Source organism: Homo sapiens, chromosome 4, assembly GCF_000001405.40.
Source record: "Homo sapiens chromosome 4, GRCh38.p14 Primary Assembly".
NCBI lineage: Eukaryota > Metazoa > Chordata > Mammalia > Primates > Hominidae > Homo > Homo sapiens.
Genome location: NC_000004.12, coordinates 148,938,458 through 148,964,774, shown reverse-complemented (window position 1 = coordinate 148,964,774; position 26,317 = coordinate 148,938,458). Strand labels below are relative to the sequence as shown.

Here is a 26,317-nt window from a genome sequence, read left to right as displayed (position 1 = left end):
CCTATTTTACAGTCATCTGGTTAGCAATCTTAATCCCATCTTCGACCTAATTCTCTTTTGCCATGCCACCTAACATATTCACAGGCTCAGAGGATTAGGATGTCGACAACATCAAGGGGTCATTATTCTGCCTACTACAATCAGCTTACTGTTTTCAAACATTTTGTGGCATGTCAGTTTTGCATGCTTTCATTTTCTGTAGGAATATTAGTCTCCTTGTTCTCTTGTTTTAAATACTACTACTATATTGTATACAAACATAATCTCTTTAAGTAAATGAAGTTTTAAGAAGAAAATAACAATGCAATATCCTTTGAAACTGGTCCTCCTCCCTTTCTTTCCACACCTTTATCTGAACTGCCTAGCCCTTTGGTGCTTCTGTCTCTATTCTGCTCAATTTGGATCCTATTTCTAGCAATTTCTCCATAGTACAAGGCTTTGTCTTGGAAGACAGCTTTGTTTTCATAGTTTTTAGAGTTTATAGGACCAAGATGCTTCCAGAACCATTAGAATTTATAGCAACATAATCCACCGTACTCATCTGTGAATTGGATCCTGCAGGATCCTGTCATAGCTTTTTAGATGGCAGTTCTCACATTAGTTCACCACTCACCTATTCTGAGAAATAACAGAAACCCAGCTAGCTTCTCTCTGCTTCTGCCTACACAGATATAGACACCAGGTATTGTAATTATTGGTGGTTTGTTGACACTCATGTTTGGAGGTTCATGGAGATGCCTTTTCACATAGTTTTGCGTATGGGTCTTTGCTTATGCTATAGTCGGTGCTTGTTTATTTTAATAGGGAGTCAGGAATATTAGAAAAACATGCCATTGCCGTATTCCACAGTTTCTCTTTACATTTTAGGGATATCACAGAACCAAGTGCAGCAGACTCAATCTCCTTTTGAGTGATACATGATAGCTCTGTACTGTATACAGGGTGAAGTGAGGAGACAAATGTCATTTATTGCTATCTCTTTAACACTGTCTCTTTTCTTTAAGGGAGGTAGAGTAATATAGGAGAGGAAGAATCATCAGAGAGAGACAAACAGTTCATTCAGATGGGCCACTTATCTGATTCAACCATCCCTTTTTCATACCAAAGGAGTGCTTGACCCAGCTCATAACTTGGATTTATTTATGAATTTATTTGTTAATTTTAATTTTTTCAGATATTCATAACGTACCTTCTATATGCTGAATTCTTGGGAGGCCAAGGTGGGTGGATCACAAGGTCAGGAGTTCGAGACCAGCCTGGCCAATATGGTGAAATCCTGTCTCCACTAAAAATAAAAAAAAATCAGCTGAGCGTGGTGGCATGCACCTGTAGTTCCAGCTGCTTGGGAGGCTGAGGCAGGAGAATCGCTTGAACCTGGGAGGCAGAGGCTGCAGTGAGCCGAGATCATGCCACTGCACTCCAGCCTGGGTGACAGAGTGACACTCTGTCTCAAAAAAAAAAAAAAAAGAAGGAAAGAAAAAAAGAAATACAAAGATGTCTAAAACCTGGACTCTACTCTCAAATGTCTTCAGTCTAGTACAGAAGATAAGATGATTCCACAAATAACTATAACTTAAATGCTGTAAGGATATATCCTCAGGGAGATGACTAATTAACCACAAAAGGACCAAAGGAAAACAAAATACGATTTTTTCCTCTACCTCATTTGTATCTGAATCTTCCCAGTAGCTCAAGGATACACTGTAAGTAGGACAGGCAAGCCTCAGTTTTCAACCACCACAGAAAATGAGAGTGATGACTTTGCTCATCTGTAGGGATGTTCAAAAGGGAAGTGTTATCCCTCAAGGGATGCCTGTTCAGCAGTGATCACCATGTGATTAAGTCCAACATTCTGGCAAGAAAGGAAAGCCAAAAATATTCATCATGAAGTTACCTTGTTTTAGAAAGGGCAACTATGAAAAAATACGGGTTTTATTAGGAGGAAAAAAAAATGAAAGAAATAGTTTTAAAAGTAAATAACCATGAAGAAGCTGAGAGACTGTTTAAGAATGGCTTATTGGAAACTTGGGGAAAATGTCTGACTCAGCCCAAATAGGACAGGCATTTAAAAAATAAACACTAAATGGCAAAGGAAAGAAGGCTGTTATGGGGAGTGGGAATGAATCTTTTTATGGAGGAAAAGAATTTTCCAGGAAGAAGAGTGGTAATTCTGTAAAATGTGACACACCAAATGCAATGCAAACTAGTAATTAAGTAGGTCAAAAGCTCTTTAATTACCAGGGCACCTTGCAAGGAAATCCAAAATCAAACACTAAAGTTTTCAAACAAAGAAAAGAAAGCTGGTAGAGTATTAATGGAACTACTTGAGCCTGATAAAAACGTTGTACTCAAGCGCAATATATATATATATACACACACACATATATATTGTATAAATTATAATATATATATAATATAAAGACAATAGTGCAGAAAAGGAATTTGTCAGAGTATTTAATTTTTAAAAAGTAATTTTATGGAGCTCTCCCAATTTAAATACTTTAAATTGTACTTTCAACAGAAAATCTGTATCAGTTAGCTTTTGCTGCATAACAAACCACTTCAAAACTTAGTGGTTTAAAGCAAAAATTACTTATTAGTTAGTTCATAATTCAGTGGATTGGCAATTTGGACTAGAATCAGTTGGGCAGTTCTGCTGTCTCATCTGGTTCTCATTCATGTGGCTCAGCCAGAGCTGGATGGTCAAGATGGCCTCACTCCCATTTCTGTCAACTCTGAGGCTCTCTTCCGTGTGGTCTCTCCAACAGGCTACTTCAGACTCTTTGCATCCTTGTTTGATGGTGACATTTGCAGCAACAAGGAAGAATCCCTAGTGACCAAGCACTTTATAATACAAGCCTTGGCTTACATCCTATTTCTTCATGTCCCATTGGCCAAGGAAGTCATTTGGCTAAGCCCAGACTCAAGGGATGAAGAATTAAACTCCACTTCCTGATGGGAAGAGTGGCAAAATCTCGTTATAAAGGAATGTGCATAAAACATAGGAGGAAGTACTGTGGCCAGCTTTGCAAGCAACCAACCACAGTTTGCCCTCAGGTCACAAAATGAACTTGCTTTGCACAGGCAAAATACAATCTCTGTCTTCTACGAAAGTCATATCCCATGATGGTATCAGGCTTGAAGGATCTTCATCGAAATCAGTTCCAGATATAGATGAGTCTCTTTAGGCGTAGCTCTTCAGGTTCAGCTCCTCTTAATCCAAAGACTTATCCACTAAAGTTAGCTGCCTTCTTCACACACACATACAACATGTAACAGTGAGAAGGGACAGGTAACAGCAATAAACGCTCCCACTTGAAATGGGAAGAACACTGGCACAAAGCAGTCACCGGTTCATAACTACTGTGAGATCCTGCCAGGCAAATTTTAAGGACCTCAACTATTAGAACAGGAAATGTTCCTTAATTAGGGCCCAATTCTAGCTCCCAAGACTTGTTTCCAAGTTCATTGTTCTGTGCTGCTCTTGGCTATACCCTTAAAAAGCCTGAATTCTACCCATAGAAAGTTTGGGCCCACAGACCTCCTTTGGTTTTAAACTGCTTCAGTCCTTTTTAGCAAAAGCTGGCAGTGCTTTCATTAAGCTTTGTGAATTCCCCCATAAAGCAAAGTCAAGTGCACTCCATACCCCAAAAGCCAAACCCACACCTTCTTTGGAAATAGGCATCTCTCTTATTTGGGTATCATTTCAGGCTGATTGGGAGAATGCCCTTAAAATTACTGAAAGCTCCTTTGCCTGGCTGAATGTCTACTAGGCACCATCTTAAATCTATCAGAGGGCTTTAAAAAGGAGCTTATAGCCATACCCTTATGTTATCCTTATTCCCAAAGATATTTCTTGTTTTGAAAATCTTTTGCTGGCTGGAGAAACTGGAAATAAAAAATAGTTTTATTTTCCAATACAGCAAATTTGTCTTCTTTGTATACCTCTAAATTCTGCTTGCCAAATAGTTATTTATTTAGCTCATCTTTCTCTCACAGTTTCACATCAGGTGCAACTAGCAGAAGCAAACAGACACTTTCCCCATTTTGCCATAAGATCTTCTTAGTCCTATCTATAAATTTATTGCATACATTTTTTAATCTGTGACAGTTTTGTCAATTCTTTTGCAACAATGTAACATGAATTACCATCTTTCCAACCTTCTGTTGTGGTTTCCTCACCACTTTTCTAGCCTCCGCTAACAGCTTGTTTGCCTTTTTGTTGTTGTTGTTCACACTTTGGTAGAAATTTCCTCACTGCTTTTTTAGCCTCCACTTGCTGTCTGATCCCAAAGCCACCTCTACATGTTTTAGGTTTTTATTACAGCAGCCTCCCACTTCTGGTAGCAATTTCTATGTCAGTTAAGTTTTACTGCATAATAAACTACTCCCCTGAGAAACTGGCTCAGAGAAAAAAAAAAAGCATCTCTTTTTTTACCACGATTTTGTGGGATGACTGGGTAATATTTTGGTATGGATTGGCTCAGCTTGGGGCTGAATGGTCTAGGACGAGCTCTTTCAGAAATTTGAGGCAGAGCTGGCCTGGGACAGCTGGGCCTCTCTCCAGATTGCCTCTCATCCTCAAAATGGTGGGTCGAGCTTGTTCACATGACAACAGCTTTCCAGGAACAGAGGGTAAGGCTCAAGTGCACAAACACTTTTTAAGCTTCTTTTTGCATAACATTTGCTAATATTTCATTGGCCAAAGCAAGTCACATACCAAGCTCATATTCAAAGGGTGCAGAAATAAACTGCACATCTTGATGGAAGAAGCAGCCATGTCATGTTGCAAAGAGGTGTATGTGTAAGAATGAGAACAACTGTCTCCCTCTTTGTAAACAATCTACCACAAAAGCTAATAATTATAGTTCTAACATCAGAAAATGCACACAAGTGTGCTGCACTGATTGATACGCTAGATGCAGATAAATCACAGGTTTTTGGAAAAATGTAAGAATAGAGACAGTAACTGTAATATATAATTTTCCAGAGATGGCCACAGGGCTTGAGGCTGGTTGAATAAGCAGCGATCACATTCTCCATTCTACGTGAACATCTCTAGAGAAAGTTCTGGGGAGTGCAGAGATGAGCATGAACTGATAGAATCATAAACTGATAGAATCCAGCCTAACTGAGGGTATGAAAAGCAGTACAGTATTTTATATGCCCCCACTATACAAATACTCCCTTACATGTATTCAAGTGAATCGGAGCAAAAGCAATATCAAGGGAAAAGAAGACAATATTTTTTCAAAATGACAACATAAAGCTCAAGGACTGCAATCTGGAAAAAAAATAAGTTAAAAGAAGTTGAAGACTGTCTCCCCTGACCTCCCTTACACAACAAAATGATACCTGCTGAATATAACTGTAGGAGGGTCTCAGGTAGTTTTAATCCTCATTTGGGATTACATACTTCTCTTCCAGTTATTTCCCAGAAGTTTCAGGAATTTACCCTCCATTGCATTATGGATCTTCCCAAAGCGTAAAGTCTGAAGTGATGACCCCAATTGTTATAAAACAGAAATAGCCCTGAGTGGGAGCCATAAGAGAACAGTAGTATGTCCAAAAATAACCTATGGGGGAAAGGCACCATTTGTACCAATCTAAAAAATGGTATAAGAATGCATACTGTGATTTCTTTCTTTTATGTCATTTACTACAGGAGAAGACTAGAAAGAAATACATTAAAATAATAACACTGTTTGTTGCTTGGGGGCTAATATTTTATTTCTTTTATTTTGTATGTTTTATATTTATAAGAATTTCTTTACCAAATAATAATAGATTACACACTAGAAATGGTAATAACTAAAGATATAACTGACTCCATATAACAGCATAATTAATTTGCTTTAAATACTTTTTTCCAAAGGTAGAATATAAAACATACATACACGCCTCAACGTGGGATTATCCTTTCTAAGTTAAAATCAATGTTACCTCTCCGACTGAATAAACAGTCTTTTACCCAGGAATTTGCCCTAAAGAAACGCATTTTGTTTAGCACTTTTATAAAAGATTAGGCATATAGGGAAGCCTTTTTCCAGTTTGCTACATAGGAATAAAATGCCAAAGTGATAATAAGAATGCATAGAATAATCACACAATAATACGACATAGGCAGAAAAGTGACTGCTGAGTTTTAGGGTGGGCAGAGTAAGGAAAAGTTGAGGTGGCACTCACAGAGCTGATATGGTTGCTGCTCTGGGAGAGTTACAGTCTAGATAAGGCATGTGACACTCATCAAAGGAGGGAGGATACACTTGAACTTACTATGCAAATACATTAGCATATTGGGTGGGGATATATTTATTGGAGACAGATATAAGTCTGAACTCATTTAGCATTTTCTAGAAAGGTTTTATTTTGGCTTTGAACAAAATATTTACATAAATCCAAAATTAAACTCTTCCTACTATATTCCCTGTTTAGCTCATGTTTTCCAAAAGGTGGGAAATCGCATGGGGACTAGAGAGACCAAACACACTGTATGTTCCTTACTGAATGTATTATTACCTTCCTCTCCACAACTGCGTTAATATCTACTAAGGTGAAACGTAACTATTACCTATTTAGACAGTGAAGCCTTAAGACAGGACCATATAATAATTTCTACTTGCCAAATATAAGAGGAACCATTTGAACAAAATGTGTAAGAGGGAAAAAAGGAAGAATTATTTAATCACACACACTTTCCAAAATCTAAAATATATATATATATATATATATATACACACACAGATACAAATATACATATATATATACACATACATATATACATATATATACACATACATATATACATATATATATAACAATGAATCAACATTTGAAAACATCTGCCTTATCTACTAAATGTCAATACTTTTCTAATCACATTTTGTTTTGTTTGTCTGTGTTGTCCATTGCTGTATCTCCAAATCTCCAGTCTCTGGAAAAATAGATGGCAGATATAGTAGCTGCTTAATAAATATTTGCTAAATGAATTAATGAATAAATGAAAAATATTTTTGTATGTAAGAAAATTCCTGAGAAGAGGTAGCTGCAGGCATCCAGGGAACCAATTATTGGGTTCTCTTAACAAGAAAGGAATATCATATCCTTATCCTTGGATCCACCCAAATTCTATGGTCTTCAAGATTCATGTTGAGGTTTACTCCTTTTTATAAGGTTTCCTGACTGCACTGGTCTTCACTGGCCTCCCTATGAGACTTTATCAGCTCATCATTTAGCTTGTTTCTTTCTTTCTCATTGTTTACTGTTAATCCACATTTTTTTAATGGACTACACTATGTTCAAGCTGTGTTCTCTCCTTAACTCATTGATACAAAGGTTAATAAGACATGGCACCTGCCCTTGAGGGGCTTGCAGACTGGCAGGAACTTATAGGTAAAGTAAATGAGCACAGTGTGTCAAGTATTATACACGCTTTGATGCATTTGGATTGGCCTTCCCAACCACAGCTCTACTCTCCCTCTATTTGAAGAAATTAAAAAACTGATTCCAATAATTCCCACAGACACTTAAAAAGCTAAGTTTCTAAATCTGAGCTAGGGCATACCAGATGCACTTGCACAACAGTTTAAAATTAATGGGAGGTGGCAACCATGTTCCTGCCTCTATCATTAGTAGTTTGTGGTGACTGGGCCTCATGTCTCAGAGTCTGGTCACCAGCTTCATGGGTATGGGAGCAAGTGGGGCAGCAGCAGCAGCAGTTTCTGATCTCTGGATAGCAGTGATGGTGCTGTGACTGCCAAATCAATAGTCCAGTAGTTGTCTTCTAACTTCCGTTCCTCCTATCCTACGAGCATCAAATGCCCTGAATTAAACACTGCTTGAAATCACTAGTATTTTCACTGTATCAAATCCTGATTGATTTTCATAGTATATGGAGAATAGAGTAAGGACATTAAGAAGAGAGCAGGTGGCTGTCCCACAGGTAAAGTGTTAATGGAAAGATAATTGTCCAACTGAGTCAGGCAGATGAGAGGTGGAAGAATTGAACTCAACCTGAGTACATAAGAGTAACTCAAAAACTCAGGATATTTATTTACACTGGGAAACTTACCAAATATCTACTCTAGTCCCTTTACCTTAAAATAAAGGAAAAAGAGACTCAGAGGGGGAAAGGGACTCTCCCTAAGAAATGGAAGGTGTGAGTTCAATGAGCAGCAGGGCCAGGGCAGAACTGGAGCTCCTGCTCTCTAATCCAATGTCCATCTAGCTGTAATGCTCCTGTAATTTTTATTAAGAAAAATTATTCAGAAGAGTATCTAGGTATTTCACTTCTTATAGAAAGTAAGCACCAAAATGTTAATATGATGTTATGATTGTATTTCCATTGATGAACACAATAGCTGAAAATGAGCAGAACATCCTTTCATGGGAATATTGAAATGGATAGCCTCAATAATAAGTGGGAATCAAATTCTTCTAACCATTGCATTATTTTTCCCACCCCTTATATTGCCTATTTTTAATAAACATGTATTTATTACCCCTATTTCTCAGCAGATCTCTCTACTCAGAATCCAGTGGGCCATCCCAGCACTGCTCCCGCTCAAACAACATGGCATCAGTGAAGACAGGATTGATAGCTCTGTTTATTCTGGAAGATTCCTTCAAATATAGTCACTTGTGAGTCAACCACACCTCTTTAGGAAAACATGACACAGCCTCATGTTCTCTGTGACACTCCTGAGTCCATGAATAAATGAATTTGAAAATGCTCCTTCTATTTAGAGTGTGAGATTTTTAACTGTCTTCATCAGAAGAGTCAACAGTCTCTCTGCAAACATTTAACTTACTGAAACATACCATAATCTTATGATGGTAAGTCTTATTTCTGGAAGATATTTCAAAAGATTTCCTGATCTAAATCCCTGATGTCACATAGTTTAGGTGTTACTATTTTCATTTTACTGGGGTAAGGCCTATGGGATTAAATTTCTCTTATAAAGTCATAAAGTTATTCAGAGGCAGAAACAGTGTCAGTCTCTGCATTTCCATCTTCTCAAGTTTCAAATGCAAAGGAATTCACCCCATGGATTCAGCCACACCCAAATCTCAAGCCAATCCTAACTGAGGTAGGAAGTATACTTGGAGCTCTGTCCAGAATCCAAGTACCCATTGCCCACTGCAGGTCTCAAGTACCTGCAGACCTATAATCTTCAGACTTCCCCCAACCCTTGCCATGATTATTAAATCCTTATGAATGGCCCTCAGCCTCCCCTGTTTACATTCCATTCCTTCTGGTGTGATTGAAGCCTTGCATGAGCCTCAGTCAGCCTTTGGGGTTGAGGGAAAGTGCTGACACCATATTGCATCCTTCCAAAAAGGAAGCAGTAGCCTTTGGGATATTGGAATAGGTTAATATTCCAACTTATTCCAATATCCCAAAGGCTACTGCTTCCTTTTTGGGTCGCCAGTTCTGACTGGGCTGTTGTTCCAAACAGAAGAAATCATCTAGAACTAAGACATTGTTCCCAAGACTCAGAATGTTAACAAGTGTCTAGATAGCATTCTTGATTTGCAAAATGACTGATTAAGGTGCAAAAGACAATAGTCACATGTCTATTTATTTTTATTACATTGATCCTTTTCAAATGTCTATTAATATGCACTAGTAAAGTAGTCTATATAGTAATTGAATAAATGAATGGAGATATTTATCTTAGAAGGATGTGCTAAAAAATATGTATGATCAAGAAAATTTGGAGATTCACTTTAAGAATATGTGCAGCAGCATCACATCTACCTGAGTGGCATCCTTTGGATGCTTCTAGACAGTAAGCTCCAGAAAGATATTGTGTCTGTTTATGGAAGCCATCCTCACTGCCGAGCACTGTGTCTGGTGCATAACAGGTCTTCAATAAATATTTGTGGAATCAATGAATCAAGAAATGAATTAAAACTGGCCGAAATCAAAATAGTTCCTATATATCTTTAGATACTGTAGTGGGTGGAATAGTGTCCCCCAAAATTTTACATCCACCTGGAACCTTAGAATGTGACCCTTATTTGGAAATAGAGTCTTTGCAAACATACTTAGGTAAAAATTGACATGAGATCATACTGGATTAGTGTGGCCCCTAAATCCAATAAGAATGTCATAATTACAGACAGAAAAGGACACACAGAGACACAGAGAGGAAGGTCATGTGAAAACAGAAGTAGGCAGAGACTGGAGTGATGCAGCTCAGCTACAAGCCAAGGAATGCCTGGGGCCACCCGAAACTAGAAAAGCAAGGAAGCATTCTTTTCCAGGGCCTGAGAGGGAGCATGGCCTCGCTGATAACCCTGATTTTGGACTTCTGGCCTCCAGAACTGTGAGAGTATATTTCCAACATGTTATGCTACCAAGTTTGTGGTAATTTGTGAAGACAGCCCAAGGAAACTAGTACGGATAGTATATTTTAGATGCCAGGCCTCTTGCCTTAGTCAGTCTTATTAGACCTGACTCACCTGTCCTTCTCCAGCGGTCTATTGTAACAAATTCAACACGCCCTCCAGTGCAAGTCATAAAATCTAGCTCCCCTGACACCTAGTACAGCATTCTGTTCACTACACGTGACCTTTTATAGCCAAAGAACTTACCTGACAGGAAAAAGTTCTCAGTCTAAGGTGTGGGGACACACTGTGGGTACGTACCCATGAAATTATGATGTAACCTGAAACTCTCTGCTCTTAAAATTGTTTATGAGGCTAAGCTTCTGACCTCTGATATATGCTGGTTCCAGCTAGTTCACAATAATCATGAGATGTGTTATAGTTTTATTTGCGTACTTGATCTTCTGGTCAGGGCAAAAACCAGGAAATGAAGTATTTGATTTTTTTTTTTTAAAAACTCATCTTTGTCGTCATTTAGTACTACTAAACTCTCATTATGTATACATATCCATATAAATAAAAAAACGAGTTAAATTTTAAATCAATCACATTTTCTGAAACCTTCAAAGAGAATCAAACTTCCTTCTAATTGAGGCAAAAATAAAAATTTACCATTCTTCTCCCTAACTAGCCTGTGCCAACAATATAATTTCCTTCAAACAACAGACTACCAAAATGTCTTTTGTATACTTTACATATAACTCAAATAAACATAGATCTGACTGTGCTTGGCAGAGAAGGGGCACTCAAGAAGTGTTAGGACTGTTTTTCTGAATTAAGAAAGAACATTAACATTCAGAAGTACCCCTTTGATTTGAATTGCTTGCTTGCTTGTTGTTATTAGTTACTGTTGATGTGATTGAAATGATCATATCTTCTGCATCTTGAACTATTTACACAGGTACTTGATTTTGAGCATTGAGAAAGAATGTTATTGGTGATCTCACCTGAGGTCAGGAGTTAAAGACCAGCCTGGCCAACATAGTGAAACCTCATATCTACTAAAAATACAAAAAAATTAGCCAGGCATGGTGGTGGGCGCTTGTAATCCCAGCTACTTGGGAGGCTGAAGCAGGAGAATTGCTTGAACCCAGGAGACAGAGGTTGCAGTGAGCCAAGACTGCACCATTGCACTTCAGCCTGGGCAACAAGAATGAAACTCCGTCTCAAAAACAAAAACAAACAAACAAAAAGAATGATACTGGTGATCTGGAAGTGTCATAATTCTGCTGTCATGGTTGAGTCACAATCACTGTGAAAATCACAAAGTGGGTAACAAACCAAGGCAAATGAACCCCAATCTATAAATCACAAAATTTTAAAAGAGAAAAACAAAAACAAAAAAGAGGAGGTATCATCCCAAGATTAGTAATTCAGAAAAGGAAGAAAGATTAAGAAGTGTGGAGAGTTCAGAAGTCAAAATCTAATGAAGACAAACACAAGGGATCAGAATTCCATTAGACTGAGATCCACAAATGTGTAACAAGCACCCGCCACGAGCCAAGCAGTGGGTGAAAGCGAGTAAAGCATGGAGCTCTGACCCACAATCTAGAGAACGCTTAGACATTCTTTGAGAAAGAAAAAAAGTAGGAATCTGAAGAAACTTTTGCATCCATGCATGGTGCAATGTTTTGAACTCTGCTATAAAAGCCAGCTCCAGAGAGCAAGTCTTAGAAGTATCCGCAGCACCTAGCATGCGTTTTTGAATACACATAGAAAGTTCCCAGTAAATGAATATGTTTTGTGTGTTTTACTTAACCTATAAATTAATGTGCAAAGAAATGGGCCATAAAACCAAAGATGAATAGATACAGAAAGAGCCAAGAACAAACAGTACGTAAGAATAATGTGAGGAAGGCTAATATCCAGATGTCGCTTTAAAAATTAAACAACTATTCTTACCACATGGTTTTAAAAAACAAAAACAAAAAGAAAAAGCAACAACAACAACTAAAGATTATTAGAGAAGATGGCTGACGTGGTGTCTGCAGACAGTTACAGGCGGAGGCCTCTGAGGCAGTTCCCATTATCTCTGCAGGGTTCAGGATGACTCAGGGAACCCTAGAATTATAGCCAATCAGATGGGCTGACCTGGAGGTATGCCCAAGAAAAGCACATGGGGTCATGTTCTAGGAATCTGTTTTACACATAGCCTAGCTCAACACTTTTATCAATTACTTGACTGACAATAAAGGGAAAAAATTCTGTGAAATATGAGGATGTCAGAAAGCCACAGGCCAAAGAAAAATTTAATCGTCAAATGATGGAAATAATTTACAAATATATTGATTGGCCAAGTTGGTGTGTATAAAGTTATAGTAAGAGTGTAAAGTTTCATGCTGAGTTCAAAAGGTCGATCACATTAATACAGAAAGGTCGATCTAGTTGCTAGAAATTTATGTTGTTATTTGTTTTCTACTTGATTCCAAACTTAACATATAATTTAAGTGCATGCACACACACACACACACAGACACACACACACAACCATTTGAGTCTACATGTAAAAAATATAAGATGCAAATTAAACCCTATTTTATTCTACACTGGTCCAGGTTTCAGTGTGCCCCATTCTGAGTTTATTTTGGAGGCCCCTGAAGGATCTGGAAGCAATGATTTGGAAAAATTTTGCACAGAGGAGAGATCAATTCAGGGAATCAGTAGAGGCCTCAAATAGCTGAAGGTATCACGTAGTGGAAGGAGTTGACTGATTACACTATTATTAAAGGTAGAGGAAAAGCAACAGGCAAAAGTATAGAAGGACAGTCTTCAGTTGAAGATAATGAGTCATACTCTGTCATTACAGCTGTTCAGCAATAGTCGGCCTACCTTAGGAATACATGAGCCCTGCGTCACCAGCAGCATTCTAGTAGGGCTTGATGACTATTGACAATGAGGAGCAATGGAGAATAGACTCTTTACATCCTTTTCTACTCTAAAGTAAATAGTACAAATAACAGAAAAAAATGTGGAATCAGATAAGCACATGTTCCCATACATACCATCTCTGGAATGTCAGACAACTTTTTAAACCTCTGAGAAAACTGTTCCTAAACCTACTTCTCAGATTAAATAACCTGTGTAAAGCACCTGCCACATAGTAGATGCTAAGTAAATCATGGAAAAACAAATTATCATGATATCATATAGTTTCTACAGAATAAGGAATAGCAACCCTCTTAATACCACTAGATGAAAAAGAAAAACAGAGAAATGAAATAATGTTCTTTAGCTTTCTGACCCTACCTCTGTAACACAAAACTGTGGGTCACACTCTGATTATCTGCTGACTGTTTAAACAAGAGATCTTCCTTTTGCAGAAGACATTTACTTGAATTAAAATATTCATACTTCACAGGCAAGTTGGATTTCTGATAGAAATAAAAAGCAAACCAATAAGGTAAGATTCAAAATTCTATTTTCAGACAAGTACCTTAAATAGAAAAATATTAAAAATATACAATTGAGAGTGGAGTGTTTTTCTCAAATGGTTTCCCCCCAATAATATCTGAAGAAGGGGCCCTTTACAGAAAGAGAAATTTATCATTTAAGATACGCATCATATGTTAACCCATGAAAGCTGATGTTTGATAACTTTGAAAATTGCTTTATCTTTTAGCTTTTCCTTTAAAAAAATGGACAGACTTTAGGTAGCTTAGCATATAGATTAATTTTTAAAATTTATTGAAACGTCCTTTAAGTGTTAGTGAATTGAGATTTGCAATTAAAAGTTTGTATCCTTAAGTGCAAGTGAAACTGTGCTGGATGTTCTCATTATGAACTTGCCCAATAAATCACAATTAAGATATTCATAATAAAAGCATTCATCTTGGAAAGAAATTTGCTTGAATATAGTGCTAGGAAGAAAAGAATTGCCCTAATGTAGATAGAGTGGGGAACATAGCTTTACACAGAGACCTTTACCAAACAGGCCAAAAATATGCACAAAAAATTATTTTGAAGAAACTTCACAGAAACTTTTTTTTCATTTTTGAGAGCAGATGAAAGACATTTGTGATATTAAAAGCAGTAGCTGTCACCTGATCTGTGAACTCTGCCAATTCCAAGGATCTAGGTAAAACTAGTGTAAGGAGAACTGCTTCCTGGACTGTTAACAAATACAGACAACAGGAGAAATAAAGCTGATGTAAAGATATTGGAAAGTTAATCCAAACAATTATCACCAGAGACAGGCGAATGGAAAGAAAGACAGAGGGAAGGTACAGGCGCGGGGAGGGCATGGGGGGAAGGGGGAAATAGAAGAGTGACATTTGGTGATGAACCATATGTGCGTGGTTTGAAAGACATGACTGAATTGTTTTTGGTGCAGTATTATTCTGACATTTAGAATGAGGCAATTTTCCATTTCCATTAATGTACTGCCAAATAGAAGGGGAACTGTCGCGAGTTAAAGACTAAAGAAAGCTGTTCCTCAGTGTTGTATTAAATCATTGCTGATGAACTCATTAAGAACAAATTAACAAGGTAAATTGTACTAGGAATAACCAGCAAGAAAATCCAAGTGAATTATACAACTTCACTAGTTTCTAAACGGTTCAGCATTAAACAATGCCAGCACATGACGTCAAAGTGGGAGATACTCTTTGGTCTCTACAAATTTCCCAGTATCTTCGGAAAGGACCCAGGGTTACTTCAGAAAGAGGAGAAAATTTGACGTAGTATCTCAACAGACTTCATAACAACTAAAAGATGTTAAGGGAAATGATCCCCGCCCACCTTTCCACTCCATTTTTCAAATAGAAAAGAGGCTAAAACTTTGTGTGAGGCATGATAAAAAAACAAAAATGGGTTGTCTGTGATCCAAGCAATACATTTAGCCCTTTGTCCTAATGATCAGCATAGAGAAGATTATTAAAACTGTACAAATAAGTTTCCTCATTTTCCATGAGATTAGCTAGACATGAATTTTTTTGCCTTTCTCAGATGAGGGTGAAAAACCTTCTCTGTTGTCTTCAAATCCTTCTAATGGATTTCACCTTTCAGGTGGAAGAGCTGAAAAATAACATCGAGGTGCTCCTATCTCAACATTCCAGGATTCGCAAATCCTCTAAGGTGATCAGCCCCTTGTATATCTAGTTACAAAGCAACTCAGACTTGTCATTTCTGTTTTATTCTCAGCACTGATGCTCTAGGTAGTGTAGACAAGCTGAGAAAAAAAAAAAGGCAGAAGAAACTACAGCAACATGCTCATTAATTTGTCCAATGGCCACACTCTACATTTTCTCATGTTGAGTCCATGTTCTGGAACTCAGTAATGAAATCCCGAAACCTTTTTACATGATGATGTCCGCCCTCTCGCTTCATGTTTTCTGTTGACATTTTGATAGGTCTTCTTTCTGCCATAAAAGAGAACTCAAGACATCTCCGTGACAGCGTGAGTCTAGGTCCTGGACTCCTTTTTTCTCCCTATGGCATTCCTAGGGCCTAGCATGTTGCTTAGAACACAAGAGGCACATAATAAAAGCTGTGTTATTTGAATAGAGGAATGAATAATAATGTTGTGTACTTACATTATGGCCCATATACAGAATTCTCCCCCATATATTAACAAATGGTCATTTGAAATTCCAGGAAATACTGGTTCTAACTTGAGATTGATACAATAACAGCCATGTCTTAAATGTGAATTAATCTACTGCATTTTCTCTAATTTTTCATAGTCATTAAAGCTCAACTTCTCAAAAGCAATTCCTTTATAATGTATTGTAATATTTTTACTTCAATTGATTTAATTCATTTATGAGAATCTTTTTTAAAACTACAATTTCAGTTGGGTTCATTTTAAATGATTTTGAATCATTTACATTTATATAGCCCTTCATCTTATGATCTCAAAGTCCATTTATATGTTATTTATTTCTAATGTAGAGCAGGGTGGAATAATTGTTCCCATTTTACAGACACACTGAAATAAACCCTAAATATATGGCTTTCAGCAAATAACTCAGATGGGAAATTTGAGACTCAAGATCAAACCCATTATTCCTCATCCAAGAAATCACATATTTCCTTTATATTGTTGCTTAAAAATTTATTTTCTATTATAACTTCAGTCTCCCTTATGAAACACCTAACTTCTGCTTACTAAACTTTAAATAGAAATATGCATATGGATTGCTCCAACCGTTCCCTCCCCCTAATTCATCTTCAAGGTCATTGAATATGACCAATCGTTGTTAAACTGGTGCTAAAACAAGTTCTGCTGAAGTCAACAGGAACCAGAAATGTGCTTGATGAAAGGTTTAAAGTCTGTATAGGTACCTGATTTTAAAAGTCGTAGCCCCTTTAAATTAATTGAAAGGACTACTGAGTGCTGGCCAGGACATACTGCCTAACCATTTCCATAATAAAGGATGGCAACATGAAAACTATTATGTCTGGACATGTTACCCCAACTTTGTTTACATATTCAATATCTCATAATCAAAATGTATAAAACCAAGATAAACCACCTTTGCCTTTTAAATCAGACAATTCATTTTGCTTTTGCGATTCGTGGTTGCAGCTTACTGATCTGATAATTATATCCACAGAGAAACTGATCTTAGTAAGGAAGGAGAGAGGTCTAGAGAATAAACCAAAAAATCCTTTCTGCTTTGTTTGGTTTGTTATTTTTTCAAGGAATTTTTTTAAATCATTTGTCTTATAGATAATAAAAAAGTTTGATGAAGTAAAAACCATTTAAATAAAAGAACCTAAGTCAACTCTCTGCTCTGAAAATGTTCTGGCCTAAGGGTGTGTTTTTCCAGCTTCATTGCCTGCCAGTGCAAGGTCAGGGCTCCTACTGAATGTTGTTTTCTGAAATCAGGATGCTTCATTTTAACCTAAGTAAAGTCACCAAGGACCACGAATCCTCTTCTGATCTCCTTGGGGCTGAGCTCCATGCTCTGTTAGCTGGCTAAGCAGAGCGTAGTGAAGGCCCATCTAACCCTGGATACGTACATTTCCAATGATCCCTGCCTAGAGTCACACTAACGAGAACACTTATGGAGTGTGGAAGGAGGATCCTCTTTTTGGTCATATGACTTTATAAACACCATCTCCATTAGTGGAAAACCACAGTTAAAACATTTTCCAATGACCTGGTTATGCTTTCCTTCCTGATTTACTCACTCACCATGGTAGCATTCTCAATTTTAATGAAAATAAAAATGTATTGGAATTAGATCATTTTTTATTTAAAATAATTTTTTTGACTCTAAATATGTGAGATGGGCAGCTTCATAGGCACATGACTGCTTCTTTATTTACACTGTGAATGTAAGAAGACACTCTCTCTACTACCAGGCTTGAATCTATGAATGTAAGGATAAAGATGTTTTACTTTAATCTTTATGGTAACTCAACAATGGCAATGATCCTTCTAGGGCATGTTAGTAGCAAATATCTGAGGACAAATTTAGGTCAACTCAATTTGACCTCTTTGAGGAAGACCTCTTTGATCTTCCCTATCCCCTTCAGGCCAATTGCCAAAGCTTGCTTTCTAACCCAATTAATTACATTCTGTAGGTCTTTAAACTTTGACATAATAAATCTCACCTTCTACCTTTTCAAAATATTCTTCAGTCCTCTCCCTAGTTACAAGAATACCCAAAGGCCTTTCTATTCTTCTTCTACAGTTTTCTTTAGCAAGTCATTCTTAGCCATTTCCATTCTATCAGATTATCATGTTTGATGGGATATAATGGTCTAACTTTGAATGTTTTTACAGAAAAATGGATTTTCTCTAATTTCATGTTTAGGAAATCTTTTTATTTTTCATGTACATTGCTATAAGCTTAAGCTGACTTCGGCACCTAGTTTCCCTTCTGGCACCTCTCCAAGAACAAATATTCCCATGGAGAAGCATTCCCTATGATGAGACTGCATCTTGACACCTCATCACCTGAGACTGATGAATCTCCTTCCAGATATTTTATTCATATCTTTTGATAACCACCACTAAATTCTTTTCCCCAGACTTGGCTTGTCTTACATCATTAAGAAAAATTCCACACCCAATTCTCTAGCTGCAACCTCTATGTGTTCTAATCCAGACTTACTATCTCTGCTAAAATAAACCTTTTTCTTTTTTCAGATTTACCATTCCCCAAATCCTTGCATTAGCTTTTCAAAACCTCCTCCCATTGGTAAGACCCATACAAGTGAGGTTACTCCTTCCTGTTTTGTATGTGCAACCCACTGTCATGACTGTCCTCCCAGGTGCTATTTGCTAATTTGTAGGCTTCTTTATCATATTTGCCTCACGGCAACAGATATCTGAAAGTAATATCCTTAAAAATAGGAGGAAACCAGCCTCTCCAATTGCTTCCCATGGCTAAGCATAGTGATTTGAGCCTCCATGACTCCCTCTTTCAGCGCCTCTGAAATTCAAAGCTTTGTCCTTTAAGCAAGTGTCTTCCCATACCTCAGTCTAGACCTCTTTAGATGATTAATACACTCAATTAAGAACCCAAATCAATTTCTGCAGCACACACTAGTGATGGATAAGAAAAGCTCAGCATGCATCCAGCTGTTCTACAGGAAGGAGGTGCAAATAGTTAAAAGCATATTGGAGTTAAAGAAACTGGAGTTTGAATCTCAGTTTTGCTACTGACTAACTGGGCAAGACATTGGGCAAGTGACTTAAATTTTGGGGGCTTCAATTTCTCCACCTACAAAGTGAAGATAATAATAAAGCTACCTTAGTGGCTGACATTTTGCATGTGAAGCACATTTAGCATAATACCTCCCGTATAATAAGTATAAGTGAATACTGTCTTTCAATAAAACTTCACATACTGCATTTGACTATTTACTGTGGATCTGAACTCACATTATACTTTAGGACAATATAAAATATTATGACTAAGAATTTTTCCAAAGGAATATTTTTGTATCAAAATATGTATGTATAATCAAAATATCATGGAAAAGTTCATAATCAAGAGAGGCTCAGAGAGACTAACCAGCTGTTTGAGGTTTAAATAGTTGGTTTGTTATAGAGTTCTGCATGAGAACTCAAGCTGCCTGACTCCTAGTTAAGTGCTCTTTTGCTATACAGAACTGGCAGTGATCACTCTTCTCTGAGAATTACTAATTTTAGTTTGTGGAAAAATGCATTTTTTTGGAAATAGAAGTGATTCTGTATGTTTACCCTAGAAAGCCAACTGAGTTGCTTTGAGAAGAAAAATGCTCAAGTTTTAAGGTGAAATGCCCATCAGCTGCCAAGGCAACTCCAGCTACAACAATGTCTGTGTTCCACTGTTCCTCTTTCACTCAGCACAGACCTTTGTCTCATAATAGAGTTGTTTCTTCTCATTGAACTTTTTCTTTGTTGTTATTACTGAGTATTGTAATTAAACATTCTTCTTGAATCTGCTTGGCAGCTGCCACTGTGTTCTAAGGAACCATTCATAGCCTTGTGTATTATTATCCTAATCCTCTGTTATAAAGAAAACTACTTAATGCCAAAAATCAGATACAAATACTGAAAGCACTTTACATTTGGTTTTATTAGAATGAGTATTAATTGACATACTGGGGTGGGGGTGGGTCCAATTCTTCAAGACACTAGGACCTCTGTTAAGTTAAAGTAAGCGTGCAATTTTGAGTTCCACTTGAGTTATATTCAGCTTATGTGTTAACTTCAACATAGCTTGGGAAGCATTCACTGCACTGAATATTCATATGGTGTGCGTGATACAGACACTGAACCCAATTTAGTAAATGAATACTTGTAATTTCACCAAAGCCCCGCCGAGAGATTATTATGCAGATTTATGAAGGAATATCACTGAAGCAATTCTTGGCTATGTCTTCACTCACCAAGGACTCAAAAGTGTGTAAACCTCAAATCATTTTCTATATATTTACCGCTACTGGTTTCATCTTCTGAACTTTTCTGACATTACCTCTCACTCTCTGTTTTATCTCTAATTTTCCCTTTAATATTCTTGCCCTTGAGCAAAGAGCCAGCATCATAACACCTACGAGCACTGCCAAGTTCCTCCTGACAATATCCTGGCTGCCATAATGCCAGCAATCTGTTCCAATCCTGTCACTGCAAAATCTCATTAAAGGCAAAAGGATGCCGGGTCACAGGCATATAGATACACAGCAGAAGGGGCTCATATTTCCAGGACCGACTATGCCCTGTGCTAGGTCTGCTGATGTCTTCAGAGAAATCACATGTTGGCAAAGAGCTGGGCTTAGAGAGCAGAAGCTAGTGTTGCTCGTGCACGCTGCAGTATAGAGACCTAACATCCCTATTCCCTTGAGGGACATTAACGGGTTATAGAGACCAGATTCAGAACGAGCACATTTCCCCAAAGGTTTGTGCAAAAGGAAATGAGACACAGCCTGATTGAATAAGGCCTGGAGTGCATTGCAGGAGACCTGGATTTGAGTTTAAGCCTATAACTAGCTCATGGTCACCCTGGAACAGTCACTTAGATCCTCTGCACCTCATATTCCTAGGCCATTGGAACATCCAGATCTTCAATTCTATAGTAATTTTCTAGAATTTACAAATGAAACTCCAGAATTTTATAGGTGAAAAACTCCAACTCATACTACAAATTAGCAGGAGACCCAGACTTGTAAACTTCCAGGAACATCAGCTCATGAAATGACAAACACTTAAGTCCATGTAACAATTCAGTTCATATCTAATAAGGTATCATCACATCTCAGTAAGTGTGCATTGGAAGTTTATAGAAAACTCCAAATAATTTAGTGGCAAGCTTTTTTATTACAACTTACAAAATCATCTTACAAACATCCATCTATCTATCTTTACTTCTTTCTGTAGCTCACTGGAATTACCTCTTTTTCTGGGATTAAAACCAAAAAGATACTGCTATAGCCATATATACCACAACATAGTGTTACATTTCACATCTTGGGCTTTGGAGTGAAGCAGTCAATACTAACTTCTTAACTTCTCCAAAGTTAAACCACCTCTTTGAGCAGATGTGAAAATTAACAAAATAATGCAGGAAAAAGTTCTCAATACTGGGCATGGCATTTATTAATAGTAATGCTTAATAAACTTCAGTTCTTATTGTTATTACAGCAAACAATTTCATTGCAATTTTTGTGAAAACTGCCCTAGGGTGCAAGATACTATTACAGTAGCAAGAATCATCGGGGGAAAGGGTTGAAGAGAGACTGAACAGAATGGGATTTTTTTCTTGGTTTGTGTATGTATAGCTATGTAATCTTGGATGAGCAATTTAACTTCTTGAAGCCTCAATTTCTTCATTGGTAAAACAGAGATAATACTAATGTTATGTGAAAATGAAGTAAGATAATACATGTGACAACAAATACTGAAGGAAACTTTTTGTGTTCACCTGAAATCAACAATGGAGCTCAAGTCCAGGGACCATGACTTAGAACCCCATATTTACAGGGCAGCAGCCAGCAGTTGGGGCCACAGAGCCCTCTAAGGTCTTCTAAAAAGGGGGAAAAGGCTGGGCGTGGTGGCTTACACCTGTAATCCCAGGACTTTGGGAGGCCAAGGCTGGCGGATCACGAGGTCAGGAGTTCAAGACCAGCCTGGCCAGCATGGTAAAACCCTGTCTCTACTAAAAATACAAAAAATTAGTCGGGCATGGTGGCGCATGCCTGTAATCCCAGCTACTCGGGAGGCTGAGGCAGGAGAATTTCTTGAACCTGGGAGGTGGAGGTTGCAGTAAGTGAAGATTGCACCACTGCACTCCAGCCTGGGTGACAGGGTGAGAATCCATCTCAAAAAAAAAAAAAAAAAAAAAAAGAAAGAAAAAAAGGGTGTGGTGGAATAGTCTTAGCACAATCAACCATAATCACTAGACCCTTGCTAATCTACGTGTGGTCCATAAGCCAGCAGCATCAGCATCACCTGGGAACCTGATAGGAATCTCAGGCCCCACCTCACAATTATGGAGTTAGAATCTTCATTCTAAAAAGTTCCTGGGTGACTCAGGTGCACATTAAGTTTTGATTAACACTCGCTTAGACCATCTGTATAAACTTTAGTTTATACAAGCAAAAGACAGGTGAGGAAAAGAGAAGGAAATCTTCAGATTAATGAGTTGTCAGCTCCTTTAGGTTGGGGAGAGACATGACTATGGGTTTTCTCTCCCAAGGGGCATGGTTTAACTAAGTGTGCAGAGGAGCTAGGTAGGTAGAGCATCAGATGAATCACTTGAAAAGATTAAGGATCTCTGCAAGAAGGAGAAGTTGGCATTTTAAGTAGCTTTTTGATCATTTTGTGGCTACGTGAAACAAAAAATAGCAAATTGGTGAGAGGTAATAGAGTAAACATAGTGGGAGCATAATGCAGAGGCAAGCTGCATCCTCCTCATTTTGTGGGGCTGAAATTCCTGAGTTTCTGTATGGCAAGAAACACTGCTAGAGATAGCCAGGGTTGAGCTGCCATTTTGCTAGGGCCCTCCTGCAGAGTGCTGTCCTATGAGCACCTAGGAGGTGGGAGGTGGGAGCTAAGAAGGCAGGAAATTGCTCAGTCAGGTTCAATCTTGTGCTTCTCCACATCAGGGAACTCTGTGATGAAGAAATCTCTAAGGACTCTGAGAAGAATGGTCCTGTACTCGAGTTTGAGTTTTAAACTAGGAAAATGACTAATAATTGAAAATAATGGGAACTCTGTGGAATTTTCTTTGTATGTCATCATGAAATTGCTGTGTAACAAACAACCAAGATCCAAAATAGCAAGACTGGGAGGTACGACTGCAGAAAAAAATTCATCCCATGATAAGAACCAATGGGTTGAAACTGTCCAATAAACGTTGCTTAATGAAGCCCAGGAGCGATTATAAACATCCAATGAATGGTAGATATTATTATAAAAGTAATATTGAGAAACAACAAAAATATAATTTTCAACAATAAAATATTAAAGTATGATACATCAATATAATAGAATAATATACCAGTAGATATTATGAAGAGAGAAATAATGAAGAGATGCACAGAAGACAGACATGTTATTAAATAAATGGTCCAATGGTTTTGTTGATATGCACATTTATATTATCTACACATATTTAGGAGGATAGACTTAGTAAAATATAACAGATGATCAGAGTGTTTAATTCTGTGAATAATTTTTATTTTGTAATTTTTCTTATCTACACTTAGTAAATTTTCTTTCATGTATCTACTCATCCTGTAATTAGAGGAAAAAAGATGATGCTATCTATCCCCAAATCTCCTGCTATAATTTTACCCCTGTCCTATCTGTTGAAGAACTCTTATTTGGGCAATAACTGTTCATAATTTTGTTCACAAAGAGTTTGTGTGCTGCAGGAAGAGACCAACAAGAAACAGAAGATCAGTCAGTGCATGGGTAGATGACATCTGTGCATCCCATTGTGTGAAAAATAATCTGCTGATTTTGCCCTTTGTTCTAAAATAAATTCATTACATAGGCCATATCATGACTGCTTCTCAACATCTTTATGTGTAAAGATGCTTTATATTTGCAAAGCTGTATCTGATTTGCTTTCAATATTCTAGTTCTGGAAACGGCAAACCTAGGTGATTTGACCCTGCTTTCTGTTTTATCAGTAAAACTTCCTCTCCTCTCTTCTGCTCCTCTTTGCAGGCAATAAGACAGCTGTGTATCATCTATGACTGCTGTGAGCATGGGGAGTGTTCCAGGCTAAGTAGGCCTTGGAAGGAGCTGAGAGCATTGCTCTACTGGGACTTCAATTCTGAACCTGAGGGAGTCATGATGACCTCCCCAGAGTTTTTTCTGCTTTGCTAGGTTTGCCCATTTCCCAAATTTCTAGATTGCTATCCCTATACTAAAAGATTACATTGTCAGAGTTGAGACCATGTTGAGCTTTTCTTTGCATGCTCCACCACACCGAGGCCGGTCTTCGGCATATGAGGGGCTAACTTGGAGTGAACTGAATTCGTACTGTGTGAAAATATTAAAAGCCTTGAAAATTCATGTGACCCTGCACTAAAACAGATAAAGTTTAGTATAAAAATTTTGGGGTCAAGAATGAAAAGGAGAAGAGATTATTATAAAGTAAGTGTACAAATAAGGTTTTTACTTATATACAAAATGTTTTTGGTTTTTTTTTCTTTTTATTACCTCAATTTGGTTCTGTGTCTATGGCTTGTATTCAAAAGTTGAATCCTTCGGAATCATTGAGCTATTATCATTCCCTATCCCATGTAAAGGAAAACACATCTAGTATGAAGAACTCAGGAATGTTAGTTAAGGGAACCTGTATTGTCACAGGGTCTCCATCACTTACTTTTTTATGTTTCCTTGCAAATCATAGATACTGAATTTTGAATTGCCAATAAAAAAGAAAAGAAAGAGTAAAACGTGGCTCTACAGCAATAGTTATAATACTCTTTAGATAACAGCCTTTTAATCAACCTATGTTTTATTGATATCTGTTTATATCATCTCCAAAAGTAAATATGCAGGAGGATTGGAGTGAACAGAGACAACCCATAACATTTGCTCTGCATGACACCACTTGTAAGCATTTCCAAACCCATGTGGACACTGGAAATTTACACTTTGTTTTTAACTATTTTACTCTTATTACTCTTTCTACTGCTTTCTACAGTGGTATTTCTACAACCTTGCTCTCTTATGTCACTATCTGTAACCAACATTCCCTAGTAAAACAGTTAACAGCAGAATGGATGTGTTTGCATTCCATGGTTCTACTGCTCTCCAGGCTTTAGCTTCTCTTTTCCTTCTCCAGTAATTTCAGAATGTGCTTCTGAGGATCCCTGCTCCTGGGTTTACTGTGTTGTGTGTGCAGATGTGTATGTAATGGGCTGATAATGAAAAGGTGGACATGCAAAGCACTCAGGAAACTGCTCCTAATTCCTCTCAAAGCTACCTTCATTTAAGCATTAAAAGAAAAGAAAAGAAACAGAAAGTGCTCCACTTCCAAAGGAGTGCAGCCTACTTGCCCCACACTGCACTTTCTGTCCAGCACTCTCCCACCTCCAACCCCTGCCAATTACGGAGGCTTATTAATGACTCTCAGACTTCCAGAGTTTGTTTCTAGGAGATCTCCCAATGCTTACACACATCGCTTAATGCCACATGCTTTCATGCCCCTAGTGTCATTTCACTAACCGACTGAGAAATGATCATCCTAAAAAGAAGAGCGTTTTAAACATGGTACCAAAGGGACTGACAGAGCAAACGCACAGGGAAAGGCGTTGCTTATACCTCCAGGGATACTAGACACCAAACAAAATATTGGACATTGGCAAGAAACTAATGAGAAAGAAGACAAACATGTAACATTTCAAAAAAGAAGAGAGTGTTGAATAAATTTTCAAAGAGCAACAAAGCTGTATGTGTTAGTTAAAAATAAACATTCATACAGAGTGTTCTTGGTCTAAGGAGAATTGGTACTAAGGGTAGAAAGCAATAAAACAGGGGAGAGGTCAGGAGTTCGAAACCAGCCTGACGGACATGGTGAAACCTTGTCTCTACTAAAAATACAAAAATTAGCCGGGCGTGGTGGCAGGTGCCTGTAATCCCAGCTACTCCGGAGGCTGAAGCAGGAGAATCGCTTAAACCGAGAGGTGGAGGTTGCAGTGAGCAGAGACGGGGTCTTGGAACTCCATCCAGCCTGGGCAACAAGAGTGAAACTCCATCTCAAAGAAAAAAAAAATAGGAGAATGGGGGAAAAAAAGAAGCAAGCTTTTAATTTGAGACATTTATTTATTTGTGCTTTTATTATTGACATTTTTCTTCACTTTTAGAATTCAAACCAGGACAAATGAACAGGGAGTGCTGTATGCCTCTCTATAAAATGTTATCAATTCAAATCTCTGTTGAAGTTTACCTTTATAGTATATGGGGTAAAAATGATTAGTAAGCATACAAATAGTTTAAACAAGATAGAAAGGGAATGTTTATTCTTTACTT

At 37.7% G+C, this 26,317-nt stretch overlaps 2 long non-coding RNA genes across 2 annotated transcripts in view; one reads left to right on the top strand and one right to left on the bottom strand.

The window, feature by feature from the left end:
- Positions 1-26,317, bottom strand: part of LOC107986195 (uncharacterized) — a 496,338-nt gene that overhangs the window by 68,084 nt on the left and 401,937 nt on the right. The gene's annotated exons all lie outside the window — the stretch shown is intronic.
- On the top strand, positions 22,397-23,829 carry LOC105377480 (uncharacterized). Its single transcript, NR_134681.1, has 3 exons — positions 22,397-22,433; positions 22,933-23,118; positions 23,688-23,829. It is a non-coding gene; the product is annotated as an uncharacterized LOC105377480 (long non-coding RNA).